The sequence below is a fragment of the Homo sapiens genome, chromosome 3 (assembly GCF_000001405.40).
Source record: "Homo sapiens chromosome 3, GRCh38.p14 Primary Assembly".
Lineage (NCBI taxonomy): Eukaryota > Metazoa > Chordata > Mammalia > Primates > Hominidae > Homo > Homo sapiens.
In genome coordinates this window covers 128,606,661-128,624,601 of record NC_000003.12, presented here as the reverse complement: position 1 = coordinate 128,624,601, position 17,941 = coordinate 128,606,661, and the positions used below count along the sequence as shown (strand labels likewise).

General features: G+C 52.9%; 1 protein-coding gene across 1 annotated transcript in view, besides 6 other annotated features; it reads left to right on the top strand.

The window, feature by feature from the left end:
- Positions 1 to 4,633, top strand: part of RPN1 (ribophorin I) — a 30,850-nt gene extending 26,217 nt beyond the window's left edge. Inside the window, exons 9-10 of the mRNA NM_002950.4 lie at positions 2,193 to 2,438; positions 4,009 to 4,633. Of these exons, the coding sequence (NP_002941.1) occupies positions 2,193 to 2,438; positions 4,009 to 4,191 (429 nt within the window). The 3' untranslated portion in view covers positions 4,192 to 4,633. The remainder of the gene's footprint in view (positions 1 to 2,192; positions 2,439 to 4,008) is intronic.
- Positions 6,188 to 6,699: an enhancer, noted in NCBI's record as "H3K27ac hESC enhancer chr3:128336746-128337257 (GRCh37/hg19 assembly coordinates)". NCBI's record gives its function as "activates a minimal SCP1, AML or CMV promoter by ChIP-STARR-seq in primed H9 embryonic stem cells {active_cell/tissue: H9 hESC(primed)}" and the evidence as "EXISTENCE:reporter gene assay evidence [ECO:0000049][PMID:30033119]".
- Positions 6,188 to 6,782: a biological region, named in NCBI's record as "H3K27ac hESC enhancer GRCh37_chr3:128336746-128337257".
- Positions 6,423 to 6,472: an enhancer, noted in NCBI's record as "active region_20486". NCBI's record gives its function as "activates an Ori minimal core promoter by ATAC-STARR-seq in GM12878 lymphoblastoid cells {active_cell/tissue: GM12878}" and the evidence as "EXISTENCE:reporter gene assay evidence [ECO:0000049][PMID:35858748]".
- Positions 6,493 to 6,782: an enhancer, noted in NCBI's record as "active region_20485". NCBI's record gives its function as "activates an Ori minimal core promoter by ATAC-STARR-seq in GM12878 lymphoblastoid cells {active_cell/tissue: GM12878}" and the evidence as "EXISTENCE:reporter gene assay evidence [ECO:0000049][PMID:35858748]".
- Positions 15,795 to 15,974: an enhancer, noted in NCBI's record as "active region_20484". NCBI's record gives its function as "activates an Ori minimal core promoter by ATAC-STARR-seq in GM12878 lymphoblastoid cells {active_cell/tissue: GM12878}" and the evidence as "EXISTENCE:reporter gene assay evidence [ECO:0000049][PMID:35858748]".
- Positions 15,985 to 16,184: a silencer, noted in NCBI's record as "silent region_14708". NCBI's record gives its function as "represses an Ori minimal core promoter by ATAC-STARR-seq in GM12878 lymphoblastoid cells {active_cell/tissue: GM12878}" and the evidence as "EXISTENCE:reporter gene assay evidence [ECO:0000049][PMID:35858748]".

Here is a 17,941-nt window from a genome sequence, read left to right as displayed (position 1 = left end):
TTTGTGAGACAGCAGGGAGGGGTTTTGGTAGGACCTGTGAGCAAAGATGTTGATCCAGCCGAACTGTGTGGGTCCACTTATATGCAGATTTTTTTCTTTTCGTTTTCTTTTTTTTTTTTCCTGAGACGGAGTCTTGCTCTGTTGCCCAGGCTGGAGTGCAGTGGTGCGCTCTCAGCTTGCTGCAACCTCCGCCTCCTGGGTTCGAGCAATTCTCCTGCCTTGGCCTCTCGAATAGCTGGGACTACAGGTACGTGCCACCACGCCCGGCTAATTTTTTGTATTTTTAGTAGAGACGGGGTTTCACCGTGTTAGGATGGTCTCAATCTCCTGACCTCGTGATCCACCCGCCTCGGCCTCCCAAAGTGCTGGGATTACAGGCATGAGACACCGTGCCTGGTCAGATTTTTATAATCAAATGCAGATAGGAAATACAGTACTCAATACAGTGTTTGAGGGAACTGAAACCAAATATGTGGAGGGCTGACTTTTTGTATACTTGGGTTTCACAGGGCTGACTACAGGACTTGAGTATGTGCAGATAGTCGGAGATGCGGGGGGGCGGGGGCTCGAGGAATAACTGTGTGTGTGTGTGTGTGCGTGTGTGTGTGTGTAATTATTTCTGCTGAATCATTGGAGGTTAAGTTGCAGACGTTGTGCCCCTTTACCCTTGAATAGTTGAGCATGTGTGTAGCCTGAGAGCAAGGGTATTCTCTTACATAATCATAATACAATGATCAAATTCAGGAAATGTAATGTTGCCAAAAATCTGGTAGAACAGCACGTTCAGAACTTTGTGGTGTGTTCTGCCTTCTGTGCCTTCTTCCTCAAAGAATGGGTAATGTAATTGTCCATTAGTTAGTTAATACTATTAACTGGCCAGTTAATTAGTACTGTTGACCAACATCCAGTCCATAATTTTGCTGACTGTCCCCCGATCAATCACAGCTCACTGCAGCCTCAAACTCCTGGGCTCAAGCCATCCTCCCACCTCATCCTCCCAAGTAGTTTGGGACTACAGGAGCATACCATCATGCCCAGCTAATTAAAAAAATGTTTTTTTTCTCGAGACAGAGTCTCACTCTGTTACCCAGGCTGGAGTGCAGTGGCACGATCAGGGCTCACTGCAGCCTCGACCTCCTGGGCTAAAGAGATCCTACCATCTCAGCTCCCTGAGTAGCTGGGACTACAAGCATGCACCACCATGCCCGGCTAATTTTCTGTATTTTTATTAGAGATGGGGTTTTGCCATGTTGGCTAGGCTGGTCTCGAACTCCTGGACTCAAGCAATCTGCCTGCCTCGGCCTTCTACAATGTTGGGATTACAGGTGTGAGCCACTGCACCTGGCCAAAATATTTTTTTGTAGAGACGGAGTCTCATTATGTTACCCAGGCTGGTCTTGAACGCCTGACCTCAAGTGATCCTCCTGCCTCAGCTGCCCAAAGTGTGGGGATTATAGGTGTGACCCACCATTCCTGGTCCTTTCTTTGTGTTTAATAACCTTGACATTTGTGGTGTTGTAGAGACCAGTTTTATAGAATGTCCCTTAATTTTGGTTTATCTAATGTTTCCTGCTGATTAAATGGGCAAGACTGCTGTAATATATATGCAGGGCACACTGACATTATCATCCTTGTTCACATCTATCTGTCTGCCTTACTGGACTGTGAAGTGAAATGTCTGCTTCATCTTTTTTTTTTTTTTTTTGAGATGGAGTTTCGCTCTGTCGCCCAGGCTGGAGTGCAGTGGTGCGATCTCGGCTCACTGCAACCTCCGCCTCCTGGGTTCAGGTGATTCTCCTGCCTCAGCCTCCTGAGTAGCTGAGATTACAGGTGCCTGCCACCATGCCCGGCTAATTTTTTTTTCTATTTTTAGTAGAGATGGGATGTCACCATATTGGTCAGGCTGGTCTTGAACTCCTGACCTCGTGATCTGCCCACCTTGGCCTCCCAAAGTGCTGGGATTACAGGCGTGAGCCACCAGGCCCGGCTGGTCTGCTCATCTTTATGGCCCTAGTTTTGCCCATTGCTGAACCTGGTCCAGATTAGGTATCAGTAGGGGTTTGACTTTGACTTTCCAAGAAGGTGGCATTTCATTTTTGGATGGCTGCTGGTGGCAGATGTTCTTTGGGAGATAAGGTCAGAGTGGACCCAAGCCTGGATGTTGTCACACATGGTGCCTCTCCTTCCTTCAGGATCCAGCCGCAGAAGCCAGGATGAAGGTAGCCTGCATCACAGAGCAGGTCTTGACCCTGGTCAACAAGAGAATAGGCCTTTACCGTCACTTTGACGAGACCGTCAATAGGTACAAGCAATCCCGGGACATCTCCACCCTCAACAGTGGCAAGAAGAGCCTGGAGACTGAACACAAGGCCTTGACCAGTGAGATTGCACTGCTGCAGTCCAGGCTGAAGACAGAGGGCTCTGATCTGTGCGACAGAGTAAGTGTCGGGCGTCACAGAGTTGCTTGGCTTGGGGCCCTCCATGCCTCACTGCTTTGTCTAGGGCAGACACTGGGCAGCTCTCTTGCTTACCTGCATGCTTGTGGGATAAGACTGCATCTGGCCATAACTTTTCATGTGGTGCCAGTCCTTGTGGAGGAAAAAGGGATTTTTGGGGTCCTGGTGTGAGCTGGGTGTGGAGGAAGCTCTGCTAGCCTCGTCAGCACTGCGTGCCCTTGTGGCCAGTATTGAGAGTAGCTGCATCCTCTCCTGGAGGCCAGACTGTTCTAGGTCCCAGGCTGCTTATGTTGTGGTAAAATGAACCTAGACTTTAGAATCAATAGGTTTGAATCCAGGCTCTGATTCAGAGTTTGTAAACCTGGCCAAGTCACCTAACTTCTGTGCCTCAGTTTCCTCATCTATAAAATGGGAATGCTGTTAGCCCCTCATAGGGGTTCTGAGTGTGAAATGAGTTAATGCATGCAAAATATTCAGAACCCTGTCCTGATACAAGCTATGTAAAGGAGTTATCTGTAAATGAGGACAGTAACCTTTTCGCAGAGGTGCCCCTCAGAGTCACTGACTCCCCTGTCCACTCCCTGGCATTCCCTCTCCTCACTCTGTGTGAATTTCCTCATAGCACCTACCACTTTTTTTGTTGTTTGTTTTTGAGACAGGGTTTCACTCTGTCGCCCATGCTGGAGTGTAGTGGCGCAATCTCTGCTCACTGCAAGCCCCACCTCCAGGCTCAAGCGATCCTTCCACCTCAAGTAGCTGGGATCACAGGTGCACACCACCATGCCTGGCTAATTTTTTGTAGAGATGGGGTTTCGCCATGTTGCCCAGGCTGGTCTTGAACTCCTGAGCCCAAGTGTTCTGCCTGCCTTGGCCTCCAAAGTACTGGAATTACAGATGTGAGCCACCGTGTCTGGCCCACGCCTACCACTTTCTGAAACGATTTATTCTTCTACTTAAGTGTTAATTATATGTCAGCATCTGTGGACAAGATCCCTTATCTGTCCTTAGTGCTGTTTTCTGGAACCTAGAATTGTGCCGCGCGCCATGGCTCACTAAACATTTGTTGAATGTTGAATGAATGTGACTATACCAGTCCTCAATGTGACGTACAGTAGGTGACAATGCCTGTCACCCCCCCTTCCCTTGCCATTGATCTTTTGCCTAATTGAATCCCTGGAACTGATTTGACAAGCTGCAAGGAGAGAAGTGATGTTCATAGAGGAGCTGCTATGTGCCAGGGGCATGATAGGTGCTGCCAAGTAGTTTCATACTCAGTCCTCAGAGTCCTAGAATGGAGATGAGGCCCAGGGATGGTGCAGGGCTTGTTCACAAGGGCGTAAGAACGGGGCTTGTGGGTGGTGAAGTTGGCATTTGAAGCCAGGCCTATCTTCCTCCATAGCCAGCCCTGCTGCCCTGGGACACTGTGCTGTTGGCTGCATTTGTGGCTGATACCTGTGGAGCTCTGGGGTCTGTAGGCCTGGGAGATGGTGGGGCCTGCTGAGTGGGGTGGGAGGACAGCTCACAAGTCCTGCCCTGCTCTTGCCTCGGCCAGGTGAGCGAAATGCAGAAGCTGGATGCACAGGTCAAGGAGCTGGTGCTGAAGTCGGCGGTGGAGGCTGAGCGCCTGGTGGCTGGCAAGCTCAAGAAAGACACGTACATTGAGAATGAGAAGCTCATCTCAGGAAAGCGCCAGGAGCTGGTCACCAAGATCGACCACATCCTGGATGCCCTGTAGCCCCTGCCCGCATCCTCCAGGGGGCCCAGGGTGCCTGCACTTTGCTGTGGCAGGCAGATTGGGTGGTAGTGGGAGGTTGTGCATGGAGGCCAGTGAAAGCTGACATCTGTAAAAGGCCTTCAAGGAAGAGAAACCAGGCCCTGCGTCAGGCAGTGTGAGTTTGCCGTTTGTCCTTAACTTTCTTTTTTTTTTTTTTTAAAAAAAGAAAACTTTAAAAAAACTCCCATTAAAAACAAAACATCTTTGTGTTTTGAACAAAGGAATTTTCAATATTTGATTGGTATTCTGTTCTGAAGTCTAAGATATTTTTCAGCCTATAAAGCCCCCTGTTTTATGCCCTTCTAATTCTGATGTTTGGGTATTGTGTGAGTGCATGTGTTTTTTTTTTTTTTTTTAAAGCGTGTGTGAACAAATGGAAATAAAGCAGGGACTGTGAACATTTGTTTTTGGTCTGTTGAAGATCTCTCATAATTTAATTCTTAATTTTGGGAATAGTGCTTTTATCAAGTGCTTTTTATTCATTAAATAATGGATTTGCTTCTCAGCAGGTTTGCAAGGCAAGCATTTACATTTTACATATTAGAACACTGAGTTATTCTAGTACCAGAGTGTTGAAAGTGGTGCCAGAGTGTTGAAAGAGTTGACGTGGCTTATGTCACAGAATGGAGTAGTGGAGTGAGGCCTCCATTTTTGTAGTTTTTGCATCCTTCCTGTGAGTCATGTTTTACTCAGCATCAAGGAAACAGTGATGAGCAAAGCAGAGATGGTTCCTCTCAAGAGGCAAGGGATTGAAAGGTCATGTGGGGAATCGACAGTGCCAGTGAGTGCCAGGCTTTCTGCCCCTCTTTCCTCTCTGCAGGAGTTCGCTCCCTGTCTCCACCTAATGAATTCCTGCTCAGCCTCAGGATGTGTTACTTAAGGTTACTGTGTCAGGGAGCCATCCGTGGCCTGCCACACTCAGTCAAGTCCTGTGGTACCCTCTCGTTTTCCTTTGTACCTCTTCTCCACCTCATATACCACGGTTGGAATGTGTGTGATTACTGAACTAGCTTCAATAGGGCAGGGGTTTTGTCTTTTATGCTCATCTTTATGTTAACAGCTAGGTGTTCAGACCAATCTATGACACGTAGTTGGGTTATTGAATGTTTGCATGAGTGGCTTACAAACAGCTTAAATATTGGCAGGTGGGTTGAGGGATTACTGGGGAAGTCTGTAGAAGACCAGTTGTGAGGAACTGATGCTGAATTCTGTTTCAGACATGGCAAAATGGAGGTGCTCGGGACATCCAAGTGGGAGTGTCCCTGGGCAGGTGGATATTCAGGCCTGGAATTATAAGGTCTGGTGTGCAAGTGGTAAATGTGGGGCTGCCGGGCCTAGACATGGTTATGGAAAAGGTGAGAAGGAGGCTGTGGGAGGGGACAGTGCCTAGGAAGGGTATAGAATAAGAAGAGATCCAGAACTGAATATTAAGACGACAAAGTAATAGTGGCCACCTGGGTTGACAAAGACCAGGACTCTCCTTACCTGGGACGAGAAAGACCAGGACTGTGGTGTCATGAAGCCAAGTGGAAAAATGTTTCCAGGAGTGAACCATCTGAGGCTGAAGAGACCGAGCAGTGCCTTTTGGCTGTAGGAGTGGATCACTGAAGCCTTTTACCCATTGGTGACTTGAGAACTGTGTTGGTGTGGGGATGGGAATTGGACGGAAGTGAGACTTAACTTTGAGTCCTGACAAAGCATTTCGCAAACAGGCTGGGAAAGGGATGAGTGAGGGCCTTCAGGAGGCTGTGCTGCTTGAATGTTCTACTCTAAGGTTGGGGACACCAAGTGTGTTGAATGCCATTGGGAAAGATCCAGTTGAAAATGAGAAGTTGAACATAGGGATTAGGAGATTGTGCAGGGGGAAAATGGGGGATCCAAGGACAGTGGAAGGATGGGAGGAGCAAGAAGGAAGACCCTCCAGAGTCGTGCTCTGCAGTCGGATCCCTGGATGGAAATCCCAGGCCTGCCGCTCTCTGTGACCTCAGGCAAGTCTTTCCGTGCAAAATGGAGTAGGGCTGTTACCTGCTTCCTAGGATGGCTGTGTGGGTCACATGCTGTCATAATGCAAGGTGGCGTATAGCAAATGCTTGTTAAACAGCGACGGTCTCGCCGAGCTCTGGCCTGAGCCGGGGGCAGAGGGTTGGTCCTGTCCTGGGGGTTGGAAGCCGTGGAGGCCACGTTTAATCAGTGTTCACAGTGGTGTGCCCGTGGACCTGGCCTCACGCACGCCCGGCCTTGGGAGCCCCTGCGGGAGGGTGCATACCCTGACCTGCCCGAGAGGCGTCTGCCGCAGCCCCTGCTTCCCCTAGGGAACCCCCGGGCGGCTGTGCCTCACGGAGGGGCCCTGCTTTACCGCGGCTGCATACCACCTCGGGCCATTTGGTCAGCTGCTTCACCAGCTCTCTTCATCCTCTTACTCTCCCTGAATCTTTTTCTTCGTTTTTTGGAGCAGTCAGAAAGCTTGGCCGAAATCAAGATAACTCGCTGGGCCCGCGTGCAGATTGGTGGGCGCCCTCTGCTGGGCCGGCGGGCCTCTCGCAGGCCTGAGGAGCGAGCTGCGCCTGCGCCCTGGTGTCCCTTCGTAACACTGCGGCACGTCACGAGGCGGGCACCGGGGAGTATGGGCGAAATCGCAGGCGCAGACGGCGGGCTCGGGCTAGAAAAGTCGCGCATGCGTGGGGCTAATTTAAAGGCGGCGCGGCTCCAACAGAACCAAAGCCAATTCTCCGGCTGTGGCGCCACCTACGGGTGTGGGCTCGTAAACGGCCTCCTCTGGCCGGACTAGGACTGGGTCTGGGGTCGGCGGGCTCAGGACCACTGGGCTGCTGAGGGGCTTAGCCATGGGGACCTGGGCTCTCAGCTGCCCTGGAAAGCCACAGGGCTAGCTGGGCTGGCCAAGGCCGGTGGCTCCCCCAGCATCCTGTGGTGGGTGCATCCCTGGGCCCAGTGGGGCATCCGGTGCTGCCCTCCCCACCTACGGGCTTACATCCTTTGGTTGCTGGGACAGAGCGCCCTACGCCACGCGCAGCCCTGCGCTTCCCTGATCCTCGGTTTCCCCAGTAGTAAACAGGGCCTCAGTTTCCCCCTTGTAAATCTCAGGGAGGAGGTGAAGTGGGGCCCTAGGTGTAAAGCCAGGTTCAGGCTGGGCATCCCTTGGCGCAAGGTGACATGCCCCAGACACCTGACACCTCTCAGTCTCAGACCCAGCGTACTTTCTCTGTGGCCCTCATGTGGCCGTATAGGAGTGGCCCACCCACTCCCACTCCCATTCAGATCCCCAGGCCACAGTGCCTTTTGTCCAGCCTTGGCCAAGATGCCTGACCCTAGTGGCCTGGCCCTGGCTGCTTCCATGGCTGCAGCTTTGGGATGTCCCTGTAGTCATAGGTGGCCTCATGGCAGTCCCCCAGCCTTGAACCTGGACCCTGGCTCAGGGAGGGGAAAACACGGCTGAAGAAGGGCTGGGTGTCACTTTCTCTCTTCCATTTGTCTTGGAGGCTGTCATGGGAGAAAACCCCAAAGGACCCAGTGCGCCCTCACAGTTTCACCACAAGTATCCTGACCGGGCGTCTGGTGCCGAGCTGATAGTGCAGGCCCCGGCCGCAGCCCCGCCGGAAGCCCATGCTGCCAGCGGTTGGGGGCCGCAGGCTCAGACAGGAAATGCCCCCGAGTGTACCCCAGGGCCCTCTGCAAAGGCCTGATGCTTTGGATGAGGCCTGGCGCCATTTTGAAGCTGGGCCTGACTCTGGGACTCTGGCCTGGTTCTGGGGCTGGTGGCCTGGGATCTGGGGACTGCTTTGTCACCTGCCTGGGCAGGTGTGGGAGATGACAGGGAGGGAAGAGAGAACCTTCAAACTGGGCTAGACCTGAAGCGAAAGCTGAATGATGCAGCCTGTCCCCTACCATGGCCAACCCCTTCATGGTGCCCCCAGCCCAGCCCTTTAGGGTCTCAGCTTCCATCAGGCCCTTAGTTCCATATGTGGTGTGACAGGCCCAGGACTAAATGCAGGGGACACAGAAGGGAGCAGACAGCAGAAGTGCTGGGCATCAGGAAAGGCAAGTCAGAAGGTAGGGCCATCAGGAGGGTCCATCGCAGCATCTGAAGGATTTGCTTGTGGGGGTTGGTGGGGAGGGAGGAGCCCAGACTCCTTTTTTGACTTCCACTCAGGGGATAGAATCCAGAAAGATTTAAGACGAGTGTCTCAGTCTGTTAAGGCTGCTATAACAAAATACCATAGACTGGGTAGCTATAAATAGAAATTTGCTTCTTACAGTTCTGGAGGCTGGGAAGTCCAAGATCAAGGCACCGGCAGATTTGGTGTTGAGAGGTCCTGCTGCTTGGTTCAAAGATAGCACCTTCTCGTGTCCTCACATGGTGGCAGAGATGAGGGAACTCTCGGATGTATCTTATAAGGGCACTAATGTCCATTCATGAAGGCTCTACCCTCATGGCCTAATCACCTCACAAAGGTGCCACCCTCTAATGCTTCACATTGGGGGTTAGGTTTCAACATAAGAATTCTGGGGGGATGCAGACATTCAGTCTGTAGCAGTGGGAAGGACAGGAGCCTGTTCAAATGCTGATGGGAAGGAAGGAGGTAACAGGGACATAAAGGCTGAAGATCCAGGAGAGAAGGGGCCAGTGAATAGATCCCAGTAGAGCAGGATTGGGTGGGATTGAGGGCTTAAGGCAGTGATCTCATGGGAGAGCCCTGAGAGACTGTGCCTTCATTAGCACTGAGGAGATCAGCAAAGACCTGTTCAAGCTTCGCCTCCTGGGCAGCCTTCCCTATTCTCCAGGTGGGCTGAGATGTCCCTACCTTACACTACTGGACACTGCTTTCTGAAGTGGAATGGACTGTTTGCCTCCCTACACTGGGTGCTCTATTTCAGCAGAGTTTAAACAGAGGCAGCACATCCATTCATTCAACAAATATCTTCAACTGAGTGCAGTGGACTTTATAAATGTCCTCCCAACACTTTGGGAGGCTGAGTTGGGAGGATCATTTGAACCCAGGAGGTTGAGGCTGCAGTGAGCTATGATCACACCACTGCACTCCAGCCTGGGTGACAGAGAGAAACCCTGTCTTGAAAACAAAAACAATTTTTGTATTTTTTGTAGAGACGGGGTTTTGCTGTGTTGCTCAGGCTGGTCTCAAACTCCTGGGCTCAAGTGATCCACCTGCCTTGGCCTCCTGAAGTGCTGAGATTATAGGCATGAAGCACCATGCCTGGCCTATTTGCCATTTTTAAATAATGGATGAGGTTGGTCATTTTTCCTTGTGAATTTGCCTTCTTATGTGTGGTTTATGCATTGTTGAGGTTTTTGCCTTTTTCAAAGGTGAGTAGGAAAGCTAGTAACAGAAAAATGGGTGCTCATTGTTATTTCTTTTTTTTTCTTTCTTTTTTTCTTTTTGAGACAGAGTCTTGCTCAGCCACCCAGGCTGATCTTGCCCGGGTGCAGTGGCGTGATCTGGGCTCACTGCAACCACCGTCTCCCAGGTTCAAGGGATTCTCCCACCTCAGCCTCCCAAGTAGCTGGGATTACAGGCACCCACCATCATGCCTGACTAATTTTTGTATTTTTAGTAGAGACGGGGTTTCACCATGTTGGCCAGCCTGGTCTTGAACTCCTGACCTCAGGTGATCCACCCACCTCGGCCTCCCAAAGTGCTGGGATTACAGGCATGAGCCACTGCATCCGGCCTCATTATGATTTCTAAAAGTCAGCAACTCCGAGGGTAGACAGGAGTGTTCAGGAAAGGGCGCTGCCCTGGGAGGGACAGGGACTGGAAGACCAGAGGGAGGGCTGCATGCGTATTGTTACAAATAAATGCAATCTGAATGGCTAAAAACAAACAAACAAACTATACAAACACACACCAAAGAAAAATCCACTTTGTAGTGGGCACTGTTTTGGGCACCAGCAATATGATAGTGATAAATGCTATGAAGGAAATAAAATGGGTGATATGATAAATGGATGTAGTCTGGAGGGTCAGGAGGGCATCCCTTAGAGGAGACTCCTGAGCTGAGACCCAGGACAGCTGAGAGCTGGGCAGGGTGGTGTAGCAGGGTGTGGGCTGGGTGGCCATAAATCCTTCAGCCTCTTTTCTCTTGGCCTCTTCCTCACCCCATCCAGGCCTCTGGTGGCTGCAGGACCTCCTGCCTGCAAGTCAGGTCTCATGCATACCTGCCCTCTAGAGCGCTCCAGCTTCTCAGCTTCCAGCTTCCTCTCCCCTAGGCTTGGGTCCTGGTGCCTGCAATGGCCCCAGCACTCATGCCCCCTAGACTTTGCGTCAAGGAGCTGTCATACTCATGCCAAGCTCCTGATGGGTGTCTGACCCACTCAAGCCTCCGGGCTTTCTGTTTCTCTTCTCTGAGCCTCACATTGCTCACCTGGAGAATGAGGACCATAACGATATCAGGACTGGAAGGAGCTCAGAGGTATGCTGCCTGGGAAAGCCCCTGGCGCAGCACCGGCTCAAGGAGCAGGAGTCTCTTCCTTTGACAGATACCAGGGTGACAAGTATAATGCTTTGATTTGAACTAAGAGTAGCTGTTTACAAAGTGCTTTCTTTATAAATGTCCATTTATTCATTGGTTCAGACTGCAGATCGAGGTCTCAGCAGTCTGAACCACCTATTGGGTTGGAGCCCTAGGTGTGGAGGGAGAAGCCAGCCCTCGCTGAGACAGACAGACCTGGGACAGGTCCCTCTCTGCAGCCGGCACCTGTGTGAACTTGGGCAAGTCCCTGACCTCTCTGGGCCTCAAGTCTTACTGCACAATGACAGATGTCCAAGGGCCTTCTAGCATTGATGAGCTGGGATTCTGGGGCCAGTTAGTGCAGGCAGAGTCCCAGAAGCAGCCTCAGTGGAGGGAGGGAGGAAGCACAGATTTTTGTTTTTATTTTATTTTTCCAAATTCCTGTTCCTCCACAGTGCTGGGATGAGGCAGGTATGAGGTCCCTACGGCGGGTCTCATGGTTGCCTTGTCAGTGAACGCTGGGGGTGCTGTGATGCAATGTGGATCCTTCCTGACCCCTGTGACCTGTGCTAGCAGGGTGGGGCCTTCTGTCTGTCTCCGTCTCATGTTTACCCTCCTGGGGGGTGCGCAGAAGGCACATGGGCACACACATGCAGCTCTTCCAATGCTCAGATGTGCGCATGCCACTCTCACACCTGTGACTGTCACCGAGGCTCACAGACATGCACACACGAGTGAACACACGCAGGTGCACACACGGCGCTAGGCAGATTCACACATGCCAGATACGTGCACTCGCCATGTCCCTGGCCCTGGGGATACAGTCGGGAGTGGGCAGAGTCCCCGCCACAGGGACCTTGTGCAGCCCACAGAGATGCCTGCAGAGTGGAAATGATAAGGAGCCCGTTCACGCTCTGCCAGGTGCGGCTCTGGCTGCCACTGTCACCAGTGAGGGAACTTGCACAGCATGTGAGCCTGGCGTGCCGGTCTCAGAGCCTGTGTTCTCGCCTTCTGCACTACCCATCCTTTCTCACAGACTCTCCCCTTCATGCACAAGTGCACAGACTCCCAGAGGCATGCAGAGGCACACAGGCTGCTCTGGGGCACACGTGCGTGCAGAAACACTCTGCGTGGTGTGCTCACACGGTGAGTGCACCCTGCCGCTCTGTGCTACCACGCGCTGCTGCTCTGGAGAGCACCTGTCTGTTTTCTTTAAAAAAATTTAAATATAGGCTAGGTGTGGTGGCTCACGCCTGTAATCCCAGCACTTTGAGAGGACCAGGCGGGCGGATCACGAGGTCAGGAGATCGAAACCATCCTGGCTAACATGGTGAAACCCTGTCTCTACTAAAAATACAAAAATTAGTGGGCGTGGTGGCATGCGCCTATAGTCCCAGCTACTTGGGAGGCTGAGGCAGGAGAATCGATTGAACGCAGGAGGTGGAGGTTGCAGCGAGCTGAGATTGCACCACTGCACTCCAGCCTGGGCGACAGAGCGAGACTCTGGAAAAAAAAAGAAAAAAAATTATATACATATTTTTTAAATAGTAGAAATGGGGTCTTGCTATATCGTCCAGGCTGGTCTTGAACTCCTGGGCTTAAGCGATCCACCCACCTCAGCCTCTCAAAGTGCTGGAATTACAGGCATGAGCCACCACACTGGCCACCTGTCACGTTCCTAAGTCTCAGCTCCAGGTCCTGTCACTCTCCCCTCTGCCTCTTGGGGCCTGGCTTGAAGCCCTGAGGCCTGCCCACTTTCCTGACCACTTCTCTCCATCAGGATGGGGCCCCAGGCCTGGAGCTTGTGCATGGCACAAAGGCCTGGAGGAGAGGGAGTGGGGTCCAGGCACACAGGGAGTGCATGTTGGATGGACATGGACGAAGGCATGGCCACCCACCACCAGCACCCGCAGCTCTACCCGAGAGCCCAGGGTTTCCCTCTCCACCAGTAGAGAGGTGTGGCCTGCAGCTGGTCCACTGGGCCAGGTGCTGGGAGCCCTGGGGGAGCAGGACCAGAGGATGGGGTGGGGGGATTTGTCAGAGATGGAGGCTGACCTGAGGAGGAGATCCTTCTGAATCTGACAGGGCTAGAGAGGGGTGATTTGGGGAGGGAGGCTTGGGCTGGAGGAATCCATACACACTCGGGGTGAGGGGGAAGGAGAGGCGTTAGCTCCAGGAAGGTGTTATTTTGGGCTGTGACCCATGTGTGTGTGTGTCTGTGTGTCTCTGTGTATGCATGTGTGTGTCTGTGTATATGTATATGTGTGTGTCCTTGCACATGTCATGTGGCTGTGCAAGTGCATGTGTGTGTGCATGCATGTGTGTGTGTGTTGTGTGTGGTGGGAGGCAGCCTGGGGCTGTCAGAAGAGGGCAGAAGGTGGGATCAGGCCTAGCTGGACCTGAACCCTGCTTGTGCCAGCTGGGTAACTTTGAGGCAAGTCATTTAAGTTCTTTCTGCCTGTTTCCCCATTCAAAGAATGGACCAAATATTACTTACGTTGTGAAGATGACAAATATGTGTGTAAAATCCAGGCACACACGATGTGCTTAGGACACAGCAGTTATGATTTATTTGTGTGTTGTCTTTGTGGAGTGGGGGGAGGATTTGCAGCCTTTTAAGGACTTGGGAATTTCAGGTCTTGACAGAGCCAGTCTGGAAGGCCCATCTGGTGTGGCTGCTCTGAGGGACTGGGGACATTGCCCCCGTGTTTACAGAGACCCATAGTCAGACATCCATGGGCCAGGCACAGAGGCAACACAGCAGTCCTGCCCGCAGGGCCCCCAGTGGACAGGCAGAGGCGCAGATAATACAGTGGCTGTCCCAGGGTCCACAGCTGGGTGTGGGGGGCTTGAGGGTTAGAATTGGCCGGGCCCTATGCGGGGCATTTGATTCTAGTTCGTTCTATTTTTATCTTTTTCATCAGATCAGGGCACCATGCCCTCTGGGCTCGCTGCGTCTTCCTGCTTCCCAGCCCCAATTTCCCTCCCCTTTCCTACCTCCAGCGCATCTTGTGTGAGACGCATGGGGACAGGTGTGTGTACACCCTGGGGAATGTGTGGTGGGTTTTCATTTATCTGTGTCCATGTCGATCAAGAGCACATGCTCATGCTGCCTGTCTTAGTCTGTTCAGGTTGTGATAACAAATAACAACAATCGGGGTACTTAGAACAACACACATTCCTTTTTCACAGTTCAGGAGGGTGGTAACTCCAAGATGAGAGTGGCAGCAGGGGCGGGCTCTGCAGAGGGCTGTCTTCCGGGATGCAGCCTGCCGGTGTCCTCACTGTGTCCTCGCAGGCAGAAGTTGGCGTGCCGAGCCAGTGCTCTGCTATCAGGGCTTGGAGCCCAATTATGAGCACTCCTCCTTCATGGCCTAGTCACCCCCAAAAGGCCCCACATCCTGATACCATCACTATGGAATTAGGACATCAACAGGTACATTTTGGGGGGATAAATGCATTCAGACCATGGCACTGGTTTCAGTTGTCATGTAAGTCACCACTCATATATCAAGGCTAACTCATGACCCTAGATCTACATGGGGTCTGCCCTCTACCTCACAGCAGAGATGGACACCCACACCACCATCTTCCCCGTGTCTCACCACCTGCACCCCAATTACGGACACCTATGCCTCTGTCTTCCCTGCGTCTCTCAGCACTCTACAGCGAGTGACACACACACCTTCATCTTTCTTCCATGCTTCATGTTGCAGTGGAGAGGCTGGGGATTGGGAGGAGGTGCTGCTGGGGTATGGGGAGTGAGATCTGTGCCGCAGTGGGGTGGGATTCAGGAGAAAACCAGGCAGTGTCCCACCAGTTCACTTGCTTGTAACACAGAAACCTCTTCAATGGAAATGGAACCCTGTCTAGAATGCCAGACTCTCTGCTGACCATTCTCTCTGGTCAGAACTGGATCACTTTATTTGATGTAAATTGTATTTGATTTATTTTTTTCTTTTTTAAGAGATGAAGTCTCACTATGCTGCCCAGGCTGGTCTCAAACTCCTGGGCTCGAGTGGCCCTTCCGCCTCAGCGTCCCAAAGTGCTGGGATTACACGTGTGAGCCACAGCACTGGCCATAAATTGTATTTGATTTTTACAGCTACCTGTATTTAGCCATGTGAAAGTGATTTTCCACTTATGTCAGAGATACAAAGTTTCGTTTAGGGATAAATTGTAAAAAAGAATATAGGCCTGGGTGGTGGCTCATGCTTTTAATTCCCATACTCAGCTTGAGTACCGGAACCAAGACTAGTCGAGGCAACATAGTGAACCTCATTTCTTTAAAAAAAAAAAAAAGAAAAATGGCTTGAGCAGAGTGGAGCTGGATTAGCTGGAAGCTCCACCTCGCAGAGGCCGGGAGCCGGTGGCCAGGGTTGGGTTGCTGGATTTGACGCCACCTGGCTGTGTGACTGTGGAAAGGTGCTCAGCTGCTCTGAGCCTCCATTTTCCATTCATAAAACGGGGTCATATTAATTTCTAACAAGAGCGTGGTTGTTGGTGTGATCCTCAAATAAGCTGACAGCGGTCAGGTGGTGCCCATGGTCAGTACTGTGTAGGCCTGGCGTTAGGATGTGAATATGAACACGGGTGATAGGTGCGTCCTGCACATGCTGCAAGGTGGACCTGAATGCTGGCAAAACACTGATCTAGTTCAGCTCATGTTTCAGAGGGGAAATGGTCCCTTTTGCCTCATGCCACACTCCCCTGGCCACAGTGGAACCCAGTGGCTATTAAGGGGCTGTCTGGGGTCAGTCCTAATGGGTGGCTTTAGAGTCAGACGGGTCTCTGAGCCTCAGGGCCTCATCCATAGCATGAGATAACCCCTTTGGGAGGCTGAGGGAGGTGGATCATGAGGTTAGGAGTTCGAGACCAGCCTGACCAACATGGTGAAACCTCTACTAAAAATACAAAAATTAGCGTGGTGGTGCCTACCTGTAATCCCAGCTACTCAGGAGGCTGAGGCAGGAGAGTCGCTTGAACCTGGGAGGCGGAGGTTGCAGTGAGCCGAGATCGCGCTGCTGCACTCCAGCCTGGGCGACAGAGAGAGACTCCGTCCCCCCCGCCCCCAAAAAAAAGAATGAGATAACCCCATGCTCGGGGGGTGGTCATGGGACTATACCTGCAGAGCACACAGCAGGCGCTCCATAAATGCTGGAGTCATAACACCCCATGTCCCATGTGCCAGCTGCCCAGCAGCAAGTCTGGCCTCCTCCTCCGGTTCTCGGCCCTGAACAAAGTCACCGCTCCAGCGACAGCTCCTTGGCAAAGTGGGGCTCTGGGCCCTGGCGAGAGCGCGGCTGTCCTGCCCCACGCCTGCGAGGCCGGCAGGGATTGGAACCCGCGGCCGCCAGAGGGCGCCCCCGCCTAGGCCACGCGCACCTCCCGGCTGGCAGAGGGGCCGGTCCTCAGCGCGGTGGCAGCCTGGGCGCCCGCCCGCCACTACTGGGCTGTGTGTCACCCTGCCTGCCTCAGTTTCCTCGGCTGTGGCGTGGGATTCTCCCCGGGATCGCCTCGCAGGGCTGCTGAGAGGCTCGATGAACGCCAGCGGTTGTTGCGGCGCTGCTGTTCCAAGCCGGGGGTGACGGGAACCCACGTCCTCACGCCCTGGCTGCTCCCGGCTGCCCCGCGGGCCGGCAGCTTCCCGTTCAGGAAACTCAGCCTCGGGAAGGGCGGAGAAAGGTCCCGCGGCTGCGAGGAGCCCAGCGGGGCTTGGCGCCTGATGACCGGCTCCGGAACGGGCTGTTACCCCGCGTATCTCGGTCTCTGCAGCGGCCAAAGTCGCCCGCTGACCTGGAGCACCTGCAGGCCCTGGGCAGAGGACCCGGGGCCATTCCCGCAGCCCTGGCCTGGGAGCTCCGGCTTCTAGTGGTGGCTCCGGGTCAGGTCCTGTGGGGTCCCAGGGACATTCCCAGGCCGAGGTTCCTGTTCAGAGGCCACCCTTTGGCACCAGAGCCATCCAGCGCGGCCTGCGATTCAGGGCCAGAGGAAACAGCAGACACTGAGTGGCTGTCTGGCCCCAGCTTTGCAGAGCCTTTGCTTAGCCGGGAGTGTGGATGCCCGTTGGAGAGCCATGGCTTTTCCCAGCCTGTGTGGCAGCGTTGGGTGGGGCGGCCCCTCTCCTGGGCTGACCCTGAGCAAGGCAATGAGGACCGGTGCAAACTCCTCACAGCCTGTGGGCAGTTCATTAGCTGTGGTTCTCAGGTGCTTCTCATACACACTCTCAGTAGGGCACAACTTCCACGCTTCCATTTACTTATTTAGAAATGTGGTTTGGCTATGTTGGTCAGAGTGGCCTCAAACTCCTGGGCTCAAGCCATCCTCCTGCCTCGGCCTTCTGAGTAGCTGGGACTACAGGCGTGCGCCATTACGCCCTGCTACACATCCCTGCTTTAGCAGGTGAGCGAACGGGGCATGGATAGGGCAAATTCAAGGCTTCACGCCAAGTAATTGGGAGAACCTGGACTTGAACCTAGGTCTTCACCCCTCCCTGACATCAGGGAGATGGCCTTCCTGGAGCTGCAGCCAGATCCCACTGTCCCTGGCATTGTGCTGTGTCCATGCCTGTGCTACACTCCCTACCCTAACCCCCGTCTCACTCCGATTCTCCCCTCCTTCAAGGCTTAACACCTCCACAAATGCCACAAAACCTTCCCCAGTGATCCCCACAGCTACTGGTGTCCTGGGTCTTCGAAGTGTTCCTTCTTGTCTGCCTGGAAAAACTCCTATTCATTCTCTTTTTTTTTGAGATGGAGTCTGGCTCTGTAGCCCAGGCTGGAGTGCAGTGGCACGATCTCGGCTAACTGCAAGCTCCACCTCCTGGGTTCACACCATTCTCCTGCCTCAGCCTCCCGAGTAGCTGGGACTACAGGCACCCGCCACCACGCCCGGCTAATTTTTTGTGTTTTTAGTAGAGACGGGGTTTCACCGTGTTAGCCAGGATGGTCTCGATCTCCTGACCTCGTGATCTGCCTGCCTCGGCCTCCCAAAGTGCTGGGATTACAGGTGTGAGCCCCCGCGCCCCGCTGAAAAACTCCTATTCATTCTCTAAAACCCACCCCCAGGGTTACTCCTGGGAAAGCTTAAGTGCTACTTTCCTTCTCCCTCTCATAGACATGGTTACTGCCTTGCTGGGGTCTCTGTGCACTGGGGTTACAATGTTGTGATGGTATCACCACATCTGTTTATATCCAGATTCATTACAAAATGTTTCTGTGTTTTA